This window comes from Homo sapiens, chromosome 6 (genome assembly GCF_000001405.40).
Source record: "Homo sapiens chromosome 6, GRCh38.p14 Primary Assembly".
In the NCBI taxonomy this organism is placed as follows: domain Eukaryota; kingdom Metazoa; phylum Chordata; class Mammalia; order Primates; family Hominidae; genus Homo; species Homo sapiens.
Genome location: NC_000006.12, coordinates 151,485,858 through 151,503,940, shown reverse-complemented (window position 1 = coordinate 151,503,940; position 18,083 = coordinate 151,485,858). Strand labels below are relative to the sequence as shown.

Here is an 18,083-nt window from a genome sequence, read left to right as displayed (position 1 = left end):
TGGAACAGTTTTGCAGCCTTTTTTTGTCTTCTGGCACAAGGTTCCATCTGCAATGCACTGAGAAAAACACACCTCTTATCCAATTGCCAAAAGTGCCCCAAATGATTAACTTGAATCTAATCATGAGAAAACATTAGATATACCCAAATCGAGGAACATTCCACAAACTGCACTCTTTCTAAACACATTGCTGGGCGCGGTGGCTCACCCTTGTAATCCCAGCACTTTGGGAGGCTGGGGCAGGTGGATCACCTGAGCTCAGGAGTTCAAGACCAGCCTGGACGACATGGTGAAACCCCATCTCTACTAAAAATACAAAAATTTGCTGGGCGTGGTGGTGCATGCCTGTAACCCCAGCTACTCGGGAGGCTGAGGCAGGAGAATTGCTTGAGCCTGGGAGGCGGATGTTGCAGTGAGCTGTGATCGCACCATTGCACTCCAGCCTGGGTGACAAGAGCAAGATTCCACCTCAAAAAAATAAAAATAAAAATAAAAATAAACACATCAAGCTCATTCCCACCCAAGGGCCTGGCACCGCTCTTGCTGTTTCTAAGACTATTCCAATTCAGCATGTTATCTCCTTGGGGAGCCAACCCTACCCACCCTACCCAGACTAGACTTTAGCCCTCACCCCATTCCATCTCCATCCTGTTATTCTGCTTTATTTTCTTTTCAAAGGACTTAACACTCTAAAATTACCTTGTTTGTCTATTTGTTTACTTTTTAAAAATCTATTTCTCACACCAGGATATAACTTTTTTTTTTTAAATGTAGTCTCGCCCTGTCGCCAGGCCAGAGGGCAGCGGCGTGATCTCGGCTCACTGCAACCTCTGCCTCCCGGTTTCAAGCAATTCTCCTGCCTCAGCTTCCCGAGCAGCTGGGACTACAGGTGCGCACCACCATGTCCAGCTAATTTTTTGATTTTTTGTATTTTTAGTAGAGACGGGGTTTCACCATGTTGGCCAGGATGGTCTCCATCTCTTGACCTCGTGATCCTCCCACCTCAGCCTCCCAAAGTGCTGGGATTACAGGCGTGAGCCACCGCACCTGGCCGCGGATATAACTTTTGTGAAAGGGGGACCGTATCTAAAAGAGCACCTGCTTGAAAATGGGCACTCATTTTAGAGTTGGTCAAGGAAAAAAGTTCTTTATCTTCAGTGCCTAACAGAGTGCCTAAGACTCAATAAATGTTTGTCAAGTGGGTGACTAATACAATGTATGATTCACTAAGCAGAATATTTATGGTTCCCATTTCCTCCTGAGTTTTCATTTTTGCTTACTCCAAACATTCATAAGATTTCAACAATAAGAGTTCCTTTTCAGTGTTCAACTATCCATTTCTTTTAGTCTGAAGTAGAAAAGACTTAGGGAAATGGGACAATTATAGTCAAGTCTTAAAATTGTTCCTTCTTGCACAGATATTGAGGTTAGACTATGATGGCCTTAATATGCTGAAAAATGCATTTTTATATGAAGCTAATAAGGAAGATTCAAGAAGAAAAGCATAAGGGAAATTCAGTCAATGAAAAGGAAGTCATTTCAGTTACTCAGAAATATAATTCAGATATTTATTTTTATGAGACTGACCCACTCCCTATGGCACTAATGAGGGAACTCAGATATTTATTGATTTATTATTTACTAATTATTATTGTCATTATTATTTTTAGAGTCAAAGTCTTGCTCTGCACACAGCCTGGAGTGCAGTGGCGTGATCGTGGTTCACTGCAGTCTCTAAACTCTTGGGCTCAAGCGATCCTCCAGTCTCAGTATCCTGAGTTGCTGGGATTACAGGTATGGGTCACCATGCCTGGTTTAGACAGTTATTTTTATGAGCAATATCTGAACATGTAGATATATAAACTATCAGCAATAGCTGTGCTGGTATCAGTAAGAGAAAGAATGAGGTGCTACTGGTCTGCCTCAGCAATGCCTTTGAACTTCTCTGCCTTAGATCAAAGCCACCAAAGCACCAATATCAAAGGAAAGAAAGTTGGAAGCAAAACAAAGAAATAAGGAAACCTTGGGTAAAAGAGCATAGCATAAATAATTCCTGGCTCAGCAAATGTTACTCCCTTTTTCAATTAAAAAAAATCAAGTTGTCCTTGAACATGGAAAAAAGTAAGTCTTTATAATTATTAGTCAACTCAATTCAAGTACAAACCAAGGAGTATTCACTATTGTTTGAAATACACTACACATTATATTTGGTAACAGTAAGTAAATACACAAGCAGTCTCTTTAAAATATGCAAAGAAAAAGTTTGGCATTCAAAAAGCTCTCCCCTACCTTTTCTTTGAAGATTTTATCTCATCTCTAAAGCCAGGTGGTCAAAGAGCAGATAGATACCAAGAGAAACTAAATGTTAAAGCTAAAATGAAGTTGGATGTGTAAACGGATTAACTGGTTATCATTTATTGAGACTTTTTTATTCTGAAATAATTTTAGAATTCCAAAAAAGTTACAAAACAAAACAGAGTTTCTATATGCCCTCTAGCCAGCTTCCCCTAATAATAACGACTTATACAACTAAGGTAATCTATTAAAACCAAGACATTGACATTGTTACAACACTATTAACTAAGTAATAGGCCTTATTCCAATATAATCAGTTTTTTTTTCACTAATGTCCTTTTTCTAGTCCAGAAGCCATTTAGTTTTCATTTTTCCTTAGTCTCCCCAAATCCTGACCTTGACACTTTTGAAGAGTCCTGGTCAACATATTGTAGAATATCCTTCAAGGTGGGTTTGTCTAACGTTTGCTCATAATTAGATAGTCATTATTTTTAATAGTATAAAGCATTTTAATTTAAAACAAGGGGAAACATTTAATTACTCATCTAATTCACTTCCTACCAATAGAGTACAATTTCTAAGCTTTTGTCTGGCTTATTATTTCATAGACAAAAGGCATTTATTCCCTTGGGTAATTGGGGAAAAATAATCCTGTTAATTTTTACAGCCACATCCCAAATATTTTACATATTTCTATTCTTCACAGTGACGTCACCAAATTTGCATTTTAGCACTTTTAGCAGCTCTCTTACCAAATTTTTGTCTGGTTGATCTACAAAATACTAAGAGATATGTTTAAAATATTCTCTTTAGTTGTGGATTTGTCTATTTGTCCTTATAGATTTTTGCTTCTGCCAATTTTTGTTTTTCTATTTTGATGCTGTGTTCTTAGGAACATATACATTTAGAATTATTACAACTACCTGATGAATGAAATTTTTATCATTATTTAGTGACTCTCTTTACCACTACTAATGCTTTTCTTGTGTTAAAGTATTTTGCATAATATTAATATAGCCAATCAATTTTATTTTGGTTGTTATGTGCCTGATACACATTTTTATACACTTTTACTTTCAACCTTCCCATATCTTTTTGTTTAAATGTGTCTTTCATAAATAGTATATATTTAGATTTTTTTAATGCAATATGGCTTTTCTTAGTTAACTAAGCATTTTCTCCATATATATTTATCATAATTACTGATATGTTTGTATTTCTTTCAACTATAATTTATGTTTTCTTTTTTCCCTATTCCTTCTGTTTCTTTTTCTCTATATTCTCTTTTTGGGGGTGGTGGGGTGGAGATTGGTTTTCTTTATATCTAGAGAAGGCTTCTGACTTAAGTTCATATGAAGACATGCAACTAGAGTCAGATCTCTTCTTAAACTTGATTTTGAGAAAAAGGAGTAGAACAAAAAAAAAAAAAACAGAGCAAACCAGAAGAGGGAGGAAATGGTTCTTTAAAAAGTGGAAATAGATACTACCTCATACCCATTAGAAAGGCTACAATAAAGGAAGAAAACACACAGAAAATAACAAGTGGGGGTGAGGATGTGGAGAAATGAAAACCTTTGTGCACTGCTGGTGAGAATGTAAAATGTGTGCAGCCACTACGGAAACAGTGGCAGTTCTTCAAAAAAGTAATAATAGGATTACCATAGGATCCAGCAATTTCACTTCGGGTATATATCCCTCAAAATTGAAAGCAGGGTCTCACAGAGATATTGGTTCACTCATTTTCATAGCAGCATTATTTACAACAGCCAAAAGATAGAAACAACACAAGTGTGCAGAGACAGATGAATGGATAAACAGAACATGACATATGCATACAATGGAATATATTTCAAGCTTAAAAAGGAAGGAAATTCTGATACATGTTACATCATGAAGAAACGTTGAGGACATTATGCTAAGTGAAATAAGCCAGTCATTGAAGGACAAATACAGTCTGATTCCACTTATACAGAGAGAGTGCGTAGAATAGTCAAATACAGCATGATTCCACTTATGCAGCGTGCCTAAAATAGTCAAATACGGTCTGATTCCACTTATACAGCGTGCCTAGAATAGTCAAATACAGTATGATTCCACTTATACAGCATGCCTAGAATAGTCAAATACAGTCTGATTCCACTTATACAGAGTGCCTAGAATAGTCAAATACAGTCTGATTCCACTTATACAGCGTGCCTAGAATAGTCAAATACAGTCTGATTCCACTTATACAGCGTGCCTAGAAGAGTCAAATACAGTCTGATTCCACTTATACAGCGTGCCTAGAAGAGTCAAATACAGTCTGATTCCACTTATACAGTGTGCCTAGAAGAGTCAAATACAGTCTGATTCCACTTATACAGTGTGCCTAGAAGAGTCAAATACAGTCTGATTCCACTTATACAGCATGCCTAGAAGAGTCAAATACAGTCTGATTCCACTTATGCAGCGTGCCTAAAATAGTCAAATACAGTCTGATTCCACTTATACAGCGTGCCTAGAATAGTCAAATACAGTATGATTCCACTTATACAGCATGCCTAGAATAGTCAAATACAGTCTGATTCCACTTATACAGAGTGCCTAGAATAGTCAAATACAGTCTGATTCCACTTATACAGCGTGCCTAGAATAGTCAAATACAGTCTGATTCCACTTATACAGTGTGCCTAGAAGAGTCAAATACAGTCTGATTCCACTTATACAGTGTGCCTAGAAGAGTCAAATACAGTCTGATTCCACTTATACAGAGTGCTTAGAATAGTCAAATACAGTATGATTCCACTTATACAGCGTGCCTAGAATAGTCAAATACAGTCTGATTCCACTTATACAGCATGCCTAGAATAGTTTAATACAGTCTGATTGTACTTATACAGCGTGCCTAGAATACTGAAATACAGTCTGATTCCACTTATACACCGTGCCTAGAATAGTCAAATACAGTCTGATTCCACTTATACAGCATGCCTAGAATAGTTAAATACAGTCTGATTCCACTTATACAGCATGCCTAGAATAGTCAAATTCATAAAGAAAGAAAGTAGAATGGTGGTTGTTAGGAGCTGTGGGGAGGAGGAAATGTGAAGTTATTGCTTAATGAGTACAGAGTTTCAGTTTTGCAAGATGAACAAAGGTTTGAAGATGGCTTGTGGCAACAGTTGCACAACAATGTGAATGTACTTAATGCCACTAAACTGTACATTTGTAAGTTAAGATGGCAAATTTTATGTTATATGTATTTTATATGAGGTTTTTAAAAGTAGAAATGATGGGAAGAAAAAGGAAAACAGACTTTAACTCCTTTATAGTTAGCTATGACCAGCTCTAAGTCCTTTGTTTTGAGGAACTATAGCTGCTGATAGAGTGTGTTGCTATTTACATTTGCTTCTCATAACAATTCTGTTGATAGTTATTCTAATTAACCCTTGTTTTACAGAAAGGAAAGAGATGCTCAAATTCCCAACAATGGTATCTACTGGAGCTGTAACTTTGATCTAGGTTTTCCAGGTATGTGAAAACACTGCCACAGCAAGAGAGCCTACAAGCCACCATATGTCTGTGGCTTCTCACTGGTGTCAGAGGATTTGGAATCCAAGCACTTTCCACAGAACTATTGCTACAGCTTTTTGCTGACTGGTGATCCTATTTTATAATTAGGTCACTTTTCTTTTTTTTTTTTTTTTTTTTTTTGAGATGGTGTGTTCAGTGGCACAATCTTGGCTCACTGCAACCTCTGCCTCCCAGGTTCAGGCAATTCTCCTGCCTCAGCCTCCCCAGTAACTGGGATTACAGGCACCTGCCACCAAGCCTGGCTACTTTTTGTATTTTTAGTACAGACGGGGTTTTACCATGTTAGCCAGGATGGTCTCGAACTCCTGACCTCAAGTGAGCCTCCCGCCTCAGCCTCCCAAAGTGCTGGGATTACAAGCATGAGCCACCGCACCCAGCACATTTTCACTGGGTAGCGTTATTTCAAATGCATGACAAAGTTATGCAGTCTTACTGAAAGCTATGTTTGTAAACTTCCCCCAAAGCATATCTCTTTCCTTCATGTTTGGGCTGCTCCACTTCAATTCTCATAATATTGCTGTTAGTATTTGTCACATTTTCCATCCCAGTAAGGCTGTGCTGGTGATCGCATTATAGGTAAATCCAACTTGAGAAGAGTGCAGCATTAAATTTTAGTGTTGATGAAGGAGTAATCTTTTTATGTGTCTGTTTTTCTTGATTGTAAACTCTTTTTTAATTTTTATTTTATTTTTGAGCCAGGGTCTTGTTCTGTTGCCCAGGCTGGGGTGCAGTAGTGCGATCAAGGCTCACAACAGCCTCAACTTCCTGGGCTCAAGTGATCCTCCCACCTCAGCCTCCCAAGTAGCTAGGACTACAGGCCATGCCTGGGTACTTTTTGTGTTTTTTGTAGAGACGGGGTTTTGCCATGTTGCCCAGTCTGGTCTTAAACTCTTGGGCTCAAGCGATCCACACACCTCTGCCTCCCAAAGTGGATTGTAAACTGTCAATTCTTCATTATGAGCAGGGTCAATCTCCAATTCATTTTTGTATCCTCTGTCCCTCCTACAGATTCTCAAAACACTGACTATTGAGATGGTGGCTGAAGTACTGATGGAAGCATTGGTGATGATGGTAGGAGTAGGTGCAGTGGTGTTGACACCAAAGCAAATTCCAAAAGTTACAAAGAATAACGATAGCTAATATTGATATGCACTTATTCTGTCAGACACTCTCTTGAGTGCCTTACATTTATTAACCGTGAAATCCTCAAACTACGTTATGCGATAAGTTTTATGATTCCATGTTTTAGAAGAAAAAACTAAAATGCTGATACATTAATTGTTTTGACCAAGATGTCACAGATGAGTGGTATAATCAGGATTGTTTGAATCTAGTTTTGAGTCTAAAACTAGTATCTCAGTCTCTACAGTATTTTACTTTTCCAGAAAGTTGCAGACTATCACTGCTTTGTAATTTAATGTTTTCAGTCTGGCATGGTAGGAAAAGTACAAAGCTTTTGAAAGAAAGATACAAGTCCCTGCTCCATCATTTCTAATCCAGTAAGCTATTTCCTCATCTTATATAGTGAGAAATTTCTGCCCCGCCTATCTAAATTATAAGATGATCTCAGATAAAGTATTTTGCAAACTGAACATTTAATTGTAATAAATGCTGCCTTTTCTGCAGCTACTTTTGTTCTCAATAAAATTTAGTTATTTTAAGCCAATTAAAATCTCATGCTTAATGGACATTTTCCTTTTGTAGGCAGTGACTTATGCTAAAAATTTCTATCCGAATCAATATTATTACTCAACTAATATGATTTCTTATTTATTGCTAAAGGGGAAAAATCTGGCAGAGGCCACCAGCTGGGGACATCACCAATAATGGGATAAGCTGATATATGCCCCTCCTGATGTGATACTCTGAGACATAACATCTCTTATGTTATTCCTACCCAAAAATCTAATCACGAAGGACAATCAGAGAAACTTACTCTATAAAACGAATGACCTGGACTCTGCAAAAATGTCAGTATCATCAAAGACAAAAACAAACAAACAAAAAAACAAACAAAAAAAATGTGAAGAACTGTTCCAGGTTTGAAGAGACTGGAGACATAACTAAATACAGTGTGTGATCCTGAGATGGAAAAAAAATTGGCAATAAATGGCATAATTGGGACAAGTGGCAAAGTTTTAGTAGGTCGTGTATATTAGATAATATTATTGTCACAATGCTAAACATCCCGATTTTGATCATTGTATGTTCGTTAGAGAATGCCCTTATTCATAGGAGATAACACACCAGAGTATTTACAGATGAAAGGTCATAGGGGACCAGGCATGGTAGTGCATCTCTGTAATCCCAGCACTTTGGGAGTCTGAGGCAGGTGGATCGCTTGAGCTCAGGAGTTTGAGACCAGCCTGAGCAACACGATAAAACTCTGCCTCTGCAAAGAACACAAAAATTATCCAGGCATCATGGCATGCCTGGAGTCCCAGCTACTCTGGAGGCTGAGGTGAGAGGATCGTTTGAACCCAGGGGTGTCAAGGCGGCGGCGAGCCGAGATCGTGCCACTGCACTCGAGCCTGGGTAACAAGGTGAGACCCTGTCTGAAAAAAAGAAGAAAGAAAGAAAAGGAGGGAGGGAGAGAACAAGAGAAAAAAAGGAGAGAGAAAGAAAGAATCATGATGGCTGTAATTTACTCTCAATGGGCTCACCAAAAAAAATATATATTAATAATATAAAAATACCACATACTTATGTATGGTTAAGACACCACATTGGGATAAAAATTAATAAAGTCAAATATGAAAATGTCAGATGAAAGAAAAAACATCTAGTAACTGGCCTCTGAGTTAGAAAGAAAGAAAAAATAGTTTTATTTGCACACAGTGGTACTTATTTTCCACAAATATTCCAGGAATCAGAGAAATCTAAATACAGGTCAGATGTAAAACAACAATCAAAGCTGCTGAATATTAGAAGAATTCCGATGGCACGTTGGAGAATCCAACTCATGTTTTGAATCCACTACATCCCCCAGGGATATCTATGGTCAGTACACAGCGTGGTAGGAAAAGTCCAAAACTTTGGAAAGAAAGAAAAATCCTCCATCATTTACTAATTGGGTGAGTTACTTGCGGTTAGCAGTTGAGCTGAACACAATTCCCCCATCTCTGGCAACTACTCCCAATACACACGATACCCGGTGGGCCCCGATGCCAAGGCCAAAGGGGGATTCTTAACCCAGACTGAGCCAGCCAGATCTTCTTGTGCGCCCAAGTATGCATATGCCCGTGTTCGTGTGTGTGCGCGCCCGTGTTTGTTCGCGTATGTGCCTGTTCGCGTGTGTGCACGAGCGTCTGTGTATGCGCGCATGTTCGTGTGTGTGTGCGCGCGCGCATTGGTACATCTAATACCTGAAAGTCCCCAGTACCTAAGTAACTCCTGGGAGTAAATGAGTAGATGCATTCAGGAACAACTGAATTACCAACGTTTCTGGATTACTTCGCAACGAAAGGGCCGGTGACTCTACTCCGGGCTGGCCCTCCTCCTGCCACATCAGATTTTCCAGAAATTGCTCCGAAGCACACTTCAGTAGCTAAGCAGGGAAAGTTAAATGAAGGAATTCTTTGCTCCCAGGGGTGGCGGGGAGGAACTGCCCGGCCACAGTCTTTCGAATGTCACCGGTTTAAATGGTCAGAGAAGCAGAGTGGCACAACCTAAAATTCAGACGCGCTCCGCAAACTCCGGTCCTGCCCATCCCCTCCTGAAATCAGCGCCCTGGCAGTCCCAGGCCACAGCCCTCGCGGGCACAGAGCTGCTCTGATTCTGCCCACGCCTCCGGGAGGAAAAGGGTGCAAATCAGGGGCGCCTCGGCCCCTCCTGGGTCGTCTATCCCCAGGGCCACCCCCGCGCGCGGCCGGCGGCTGGGACCGTACCTCGGGCGCTGGCGAAGCGGCACCCAGCGCGATATGGCTGGTGCAGTCCAGGCTCATGACGACCCGAGCCCGGGGGCGCGCTCGGACCCGGAACCGGCCCTGAGGAAGCGGCGGCGCCGGGAGCCGGCGGGTGGCGCGGGTGTCTCCTCGGGCAACGGGTAAACACCGCGGGGACGCGGCGGCGCGCGGCTGCGCGCGAGTAGGGTGGCCCGGCCGCAGGAGGCCGGGGTGGACCCCGAACCCCCGAGCGTGGCCTCCGTGGCGAGGGCCTGCAACTGAGCGGCCGAAACTGCCAGGGCGACCTGGGGGGAGTCGGCGGGGATAACGGTCGGTCCTCCCGGTGGGACTCTGCAGTGAATGCAATTCCAGGCCTCATCCTTATGTCAGCGATAAATACAGCCAGTGGGCACTGTGAACGGTGCTGGCGCGAGTGAGGCATAGGAAACTTCACAAGGGTGAACGGAGCATTTATTTAGCACACACTGTGTGCAAATGTGTCTGCGAGCGTGCAACCTGTGCAGGTCCGGGTCCTGCGCTTGGTTTAATACTCAGCTGTCCCAGTCTTGACGTTTTTAGGAAGTTTTGAACAAGGTGTCCTGCATTTTCATTCTGTACCGGGGTCCACAAATTATGTAGCCTGCCCTGGTGTGCGTTCTTTCATTTCACCTTCTCAACAACCCTGCCTGGAAGTACGGGTACTAGTAATACCAGTGTTAGTAACAGCCACAGCTGCTCATTATGAAATACTCGTGCTCGTCCATGCACTGTTCTAAGTGCTTCCCACGTATGATCAATCTCCTTAAATGAAACAAGATTATGAAGTGGATGTTAGAATAATCCATCTGCAAGACAAGGCAACAGTCACAGGGAAATAAAATAAAATTTCCAAGATGTACAGGGTAAGTGGTAGAATGAAGATCAGGCTCCAGATCATAACACTAAAGCACAGAGAAGATGAGTAACTTGTTTAAGGTCCCACAATTTGTAGCAGAATCTGAAAATGGAATCTGCATTCACCTCACTTTAAAGCTTTTGGTGGGCCAGGCGCGGTGGCTCACTCCTGTAATCCCAACACTTTTGGGAGGCTGAGATGGGTGGATCACTTGAGGTCAGGAGTTTGAGACCAGCCTGGCCAAGAAGGTGAAACCCTGTCTCTACTAAAAATACAAAAATTAGCCGGGCGTGGTAGCGGACACCTGTAATACAGCTATTTGAGAGGCTGAGGCAGGGAAAATCATTTGAACCTGGGAGGCAGAGGTTGCAGTGAGCCAAGATTGAGCCACTGCACTCCAGCCTGGGTGACAGAGCAAGAATCTGCCTCAAAAAAAAAAAAAAAAAAAAAGAAAAAAGCCTTTAGTAGACTCCTATGCTGTTTGAGACACATGAAATCAAACAGGTGGGAGGATTGCTTGAGGCCAGGAGTTTGAGACCAGCCTGGGCAATACAGCAAGACTCTATCTCTACAAGTTTTTTTTTTTTTTTTTTAAATTAGCCAGGCATGGTGGTGCACACCTGTAGTCCTAGCTACTCAGAAGGCTAAGGCGGGGCCAGGTGAGGTGGCTCATACCTATAATCCCAGTACTTTGGGAGGCTGAGGCAGGTGGATCACCTGAGGTCAGGAGTTCGAGACCAGCCTGGCCAACATAGTGAAACCCTGTCTCTACTAAAAATACAAAAATTAGCTAGGTGTGGTGGCACATGCCTGTAATCCCAGCTACTTGGGAGGCTGAGGCAGGAGAATCGCTTGAACCTGGGAGGCGGAGGTTGCAATAAGCTGAGATAGCACCACTGTACTCCAGCCTGGGTGACAGAGCAAGACGCCATCTTAAAAAAAAAAAAAAAAAAGAAAGCTAAAGCAGGAGGATAGCTTTGAGCCCAGGAGGTCAAGGCTGCAGTGAGCTATGATCACCACTGCACTCCAGCCTGGGCGACAGAGCAAGAGCATGTCTCTAAAGACAACACAAAAAGGCAAAATCAGAGCTATGGCAGCTTTTCTTGGATTCCATCAGTCATCCTATGTGCATTCATATTGACCCTGAGGATTTCTTCATCTGGACAATGGCTTTTGAGCTCACGGTAACTTTGCCATATATCTAATCCAGAATCATCTCAAGGCTTTCACTTGATGCACCGTTAAAGAAAAAGTTCTTAATGAAAACTTAGGCTTTCAGAAATCTCCTATTAATAGTACAATTTGGAGTAAACACATTTTTAAGTTGTAGTTTTTCCTTGCAGTAGAACCACTACAAACTTGTCAAATTTTCTTTTCTTTTTTTTTTTCAAACAGAGTTTCGCTCGTTACCTAGGCTGGAGTTCAATGGAGCGATCTCTGCTCACTGCAAACTCCGCCCCCTGGATTCAAGCGATTCTCCTGCCTCAGCCTCCCGACTAGCTGGGATTACAGGCATGTGCCACCACACCCTGCTAATTTTGTATTTTTAGTAGAGACAGGGTTTCACCATGTTGGCCAAGCTGGTCTCGAAGTCCTGACCTCAGGTGATCTACCTGCCTCCACCTCTCAAAGTGCTGGGATTACAGGCGTGAGCCACTGCGCCCGGCCAAACTTGTTAAATTTTCAATGAACCAACACTGCCAGAGGAAACACAAAATTGATGAAAACTCAAGACACCTGGAAGAGAACCAGATGGAAATCCTTCTCCATTAACTCTAATCCAATTGTTTAAGAATCCCATGTCATAAAGCCTAATTCTGCTCAGTTTGGTCAACCTTGTAGCTCTTATTCATGAGAATAGAAGATATAAATTTGCAGTCTTTAAAAATCAGCATGAAACAGATTTTTCTCTGTATAAAACAATGTGATTTTGTGGTAACTGGAGGCAGAAAAAGTACTTGGCTCAGCCCTCCCCAGATGCCTTTGAGATTTCTGGGATATCAAGACATGAGCCAAGTGACTCTTCAAGCAGCATCTGATGATGTGATGACGTCAAAGAAGTTGAGCTGGGGGGACCCCGAGGTCTGGACCTTGGAGGAGATGACGATTTGGGCTAGCTGGGACCATGGTGGTAGAACATTTCAGGCTGGGAGTTGGAGGGGGGCGGTCTCTAGGTCTGATAACAGTTTAAGCAAAGGAGGGAAGAAAAAATGTACAAACAAGTTCCAGTCCAGACCTCTCACAAAACCCCGTGTGTGGGCAGCACCGTGTGGCCCACAATACCTCCGTACAGACCTCTGTTTTGGAGTTTTCTTGTGGTGTCGTAAGTTTAGAACTCTGGTTTCCTCCTTTTGCTTGTTTGCTTGTTTGTTTTACAGATGTACATGTTTCTCACGGGAACATTTGTAATATGATAACTTTTGGAGCTTTTGACTTCCGATTGAAAACTTGTCACTGAAATCACTCCTATGACATTTTAATTGTCTAAAGGTTGTTTAAAAGAGTAGGCTTAATTTTAGTATTTTCCTAAACACTTGCTGTGATCTAAATGTTGGTGCTCGCCACCCCAAATTCATTTGTTGGAACCTAATACCCATTGTGATAGTGCTAAGAAGTGGGGCCTTTGGGAAATGATGAAGTCATGGGGGCACCACCCTCATGATTGACATTAGCCCTTCTAAAAGTGGCTCGGATTTGTTAAAGGATACAAAGTGACAGCTAGACAAGGGGAATCAGTTCTAGTGTTCCATACCACTGTTTGATGACTACTGTTCACTATAGTACATTATATAGTTTCACATAGCTAGAAGGAGGATATTGAATGTTCCTAATACAAAGAAATAATAAATGTTTGAGATGATGGATCTGCTAATTATCCTGGTCACTATATATTATTTGTATCAAAACTTCACTATGAATCCCATAAATATATACAATCATATGTCAATTTAAAAAACACATTAAAATTTTTAGCCGGCGCAGTGGCTCACGCCTGTAATCCCAGCACTTTGGGAGGACAAGGCAGGCGGATCATGAGGTCAGGAGATCAAGACCATCCTGGCTAACACGGTGAAACCCCGTCTCTACTAAAAATACAAAAAATTAGCCGGGTGTGGTGGCAGGCGCCTGTAGTCCCAGCTGCTTGGGAGGCTGAGGCAGGAGAATGGTGTGATCCTGGGAGGTAGAGCTTGTAGTGAGCCGAGATTGCACCACTGCACTGCAGCCTGGGCGACAGAGTGAGACGCCATCTCAAAAAAAAAAAAAAAAAAATTAAAATTTTTAAATGAAGAAAAAATTTTCAAAAGCAAAATTCTTTCTTAAAAAGACATATCTATCTATATCTATATATAAAGCAACATTTCTGAAACTTAAAAAATGTGGCTTGAGTGAGCTCCCTTGCTTCTTCCTCCATGTGAGGATATAGCAAGACAGGCCGGGCATGGTGGCTCAGGCTTGTAATTTCAGCACTTTGGGAGGCCAAGGTGGCCAGATCACCTGAGGTCGGGAGTTCAAGACCAGCCTGAAACCCCATCTCTACAAAAAATTAGCCAGGCGTGGTGGCGGCTGCCTATAATCCCAGCTACTCAGGAAGGATGATACACGAGAATCACTTGAACCCGGGAGGCAGAGGCTGTAGTGAGCCAAGATTGCGCCACTGCACTCTAGCTAAGTGACAAAGCTAGACTCCGTCTCAAAAAAAAAAAAGAGGACACCGCAAGAAGGTGCCATCCATCCATAAGGAACAGGAGGAGCTCACCAGGCACCAATCTGTTGGCTCCTTGATCTTGGGCTTTCTGGCCTCCAGAACTGTGAGAAATAAATGTCTATTGTTTATAAATTCCCCAGTCTAAGGTATTTTTGTTATAGCAGCCTGAATGGACTAAGTCCTAGCTGAACGAAATGTTCTCAAAACCTGCAAGCAGCTCCTTCAGTCATCTACCAGAAGATTACTTGGTGAAGTACAGACCACTGAAACCTGCTATTCCAAGCGAGTGGCAGCTCTTAAAGGTCTTTAAAGCCATTCTCAGTCCTTTCCTAGACTTGTTTCACTTGTTTGCTGATCCTGATTTATCTAATAAATGAACACTCTTCAGCAATGACTTTAATTCATCCTAAAACAGATCCCCGTCCCTTATTTGTTCTATTGTGACATAAAGTTGGTTGTCAAACAATTTGTCAGTGTCATTTCCAAAGATTTTCATACATTTCATTTCATTTATTTTAAGGTCCATTTTCTATCTTTCCCCATACATATGACTGTTTCCAATATATTTTTACACCTAAAATAAATGTGATCCATCTTATAACTTTATTATACGCTAAGCTTAGAGAACCACTGAGAGCTCACTTTATGAAAAATAAACTGAAAGACCTTCAGTTTCACTATTAAGGTAAATCACAATTGTTCTTTTAAAAAACATCTTATCAAAAATGTAAAGTACATTTCAAGACATTTTAGTTGGGTAAATATAAGGTTCTAAAAAACACCTACAATAAACATATTTTTCTGGTCCTATATGATGTTTATTTGACTGTAAATTCAATACATTTGAATTCTGTTTTAATTGGTATTTTCTTAACTAGTCAAAAAGATTTGTTGTATATAATATAATACCACCATTCATGGTCTTACTGAAGTGATCTTTCAGTTGTGAAATTGCAAGTTTAAAATACTTTAATATTCTTGGAAAAATTTAGAGGGATAAACTGGGCAATCAATGTTAACATTTTTCTGTTCTAGGAGGAGAAAGCACTTTCTAGCAAAGGACTGCCAGAAGGACCACATCACATGTTTTTTTTATAGGAAAAGTGTCAACCAATCGGGAGGATTATGGAAAGTCTGGGGTGAAGCAAGAGCTCCACGAGCCTTCTTTGAATCCTCTGTCCTCTGAATCACCTGGCAGCCAATTATTCCTAAAGTTTTTTTCCCTTTGGGGGTTTCCCTAGAAGAGCTGAAGTCTACTACTAATAAGAACATAATTAGTTTGGGGGATGAATAACATTTTTCTTCACTAAGGCTCAAAGTTAGTGTTTCCTATCATCAAAATTTATTCCTAATTTCCACTTTTTGTTGTTGTTGTTGCCCAGGCTGGAGTGCAGTGGCACAATCTCAGCTCACCGCAACCTCCACCTCCTGGGTTCAAGTGATTCTCCTGACTCAGCCTCCCGAGTAGCTGGGATTACAGGCATGCGCCACCATGCCTGGCTAATTTTGTATTTTTAGTAGAGACGGGGTTTCTCCACGTTGGTCAGGCTGGTCTCGAACTTCCAACCTCAGGTGATCCACCTGCCTCGGCCTCCCAAAGTGCTGGGATTACAGGCATGAGCCACCACACCTGGCCAAATTTCCACTTCTTAATGCTTATCTGGAATGAAAATTTACATGTTTCATCTTTAAAAATGTCATTCACACAGATGGGTACTGCTAACTATTGCTTTCATTTCATAAGCATGTGATTTAAATTGAGCATATTAATCACTCAGAAGGCATCTATAAAATTACCTTAGATTTTTATGTTGATATTTATCTTTTAGCATGTCATTACGCTGCAGATTAAAAGCCTCCAGTTGAAGGTTAGATGGAAGCTCCTCAACTACAGTTGAATATTAATATATTTTTGAAATATGGGAATTTCCTTTGCATGTGCATTGAGGGCTGAATATTTGTGTGAGAATGAAGATTTCACATCTTGTTTTAAATTTCATCAGCATAGAAAGGATATAGGACAGCTTGACAGCCTGTACTTAGAACAACATTAGCAGTTATTGCATATAGTACTGTCTTACCTTGTAATTATACCTTGAGTTGATTAATAAATATTACCAACTCTACAGCAAAAGCTAATTTCCAAAGCCATTCAGTATTCAATAATACTGACTGAAGGCTGTGTTTCTTATTTGGAAAAACTTTCCATCTCAGCCCTGAGTTCAAAAAATTGAAATGAAACATTGTCACCACTGATCCATCAAATTTCTGTGCATCAGAGCAAGTCAGGATATATGGTTTCTATTTCCAGCAAAAACTTGTAGAAGTGACAATGGTTAAGTCCACAAGAGCGATGAAGTTCAACATTTACACTACTGACTTAATAATGCCTGATAAATACAAATATTTTCTGTGATGTGTTTGCTGATGAATAATATCATGAAAAACCACAGGCTTTTCATTTTCAAAAGCTTTGTAAATGTACCCAATTAAACCCTTTTCTGGTGAACACATATTTTTACCGTCATCAGTTTTAACACATCTTATCAGATTCTACTTCAGATTGTACTGAGTTCGTGTTTTCTGTTTCTATTAAAATATTCTCACCTGTATTCTCTCCACACAGGCTTTTTTTGATTACTTCAGTCTTAGCACTGATATTTCAAATAACAACTGCTCAGTATTGTTAACATTTGTGAACTTGTCAAGAGCCAAAGAAAATCATTTGCCTTGTTTTTAAGGCAAAAATATGTTCATGTTGCTCCCAACATCCTCAACCCTGAACAACCAGTCTCACTGAAAGGCAAGTTTATCTTCTCTAAGAGCACGTTTCTTTGGCTGCAGCAATTAAACATGATTTAATGAACTCAACATTGGTAAATGGCTCTCTTTGCCTGGCTAATAAATTAACCACTCAGAAACTGACTTTGGTTGCGGCCTCATTTTATCTTTTATTTTTGTGAGACAGTTCTGCTGTGGTCAGATATTCCATTTTAAATTTTCTAATTTTTCTAACTGTTACTTTTCTGTGAGTTAAGGATATTATAACAAGTGCTTAGTCTAGTTATGTCAATGTCTAAGTATTCTTTTAGCACATCTATAGTGTCATGTTTATAGTAAACATAATGCTTTGGCATTTAATTCTACAAATATAATCTACTATCCACTGTCTTAAAAGCATGACATCCAAAATCCACGTTTCTTGTATTAACATGATGAGTAAGCTCTGGTAATTTTAAAAGTAAAGTAAATGTCACCATAGTACAATACATACGGTACTTTACCAAACACGGTAGAGTTATAACTGTACCCCTATTATTTGTGATTTGTGGATGAGCAGGGCAAAATGATAAGAGCACCACATGTAGTCTCTTTTGCAGCCCCTCAATCCTGCTGTTTGAGTGTGAAAGTAACCAGAGACAAAACATAAACAAATGTGGCTATGTTCCTATAAAACTACCTATAGACCCCAAAATTTGAATTTTATGTCACTTATCTTCATGTGTCACAAGATATTATTATTCTTTTTTTTAAAAACCAACCAAAAATTTAAAACTGACTCTTAGCTTATGGGCCATATAAAAACAGGTAACTATGGGCCATAGTTTGCCAACCCCTGGTCTAGGTCAAAGTTTAGGATATGGGTACATTTTTCAATTGGAATCAACTTAAGCTAAATTATTTAGTAAATGATTGCATAGGTAGTATTCAGATACAGCAAAAGTCATAC

At 40.4% G+C, this 18,083-nt stretch overlaps 1 protein-coding gene and 1 long non-coding RNA gene across 3 annotated transcripts in view; one reads left to right on the top strand and one right to left on the bottom strand.

Annotated features, from left to right (window-relative positions):
- Positions 1–9,924, bottom strand: part of CCDC170 (coiled-coil domain containing 170) — a 127,177-nt gene extending 117,253 nt beyond the window's left edge. For both annotated transcript variants that reach the window (NM_025059.4, XM_047419372.1), the window contains exon 1: positions 9,756–9,924. In NM_025059.4, coding sequence (NP_079335.2) covers positions 9,756–9,812 — 57 coding nt within the window. In that variant the 5' untranslated portion in view covers positions 9,813–9,924. The remainder of the gene's footprint in view (positions 1–9,755) is intronic.
- On the top strand, positions 5,735–7,534 carry LOC124901436 (uncharacterized). Its single transcript, XR_007059817.1, has 2 exons — positions 5,735–5,805; positions 6,877–7,534. It is a non-coding gene; the product is annotated as an uncharacterized LOC124901436 (long non-coding RNA).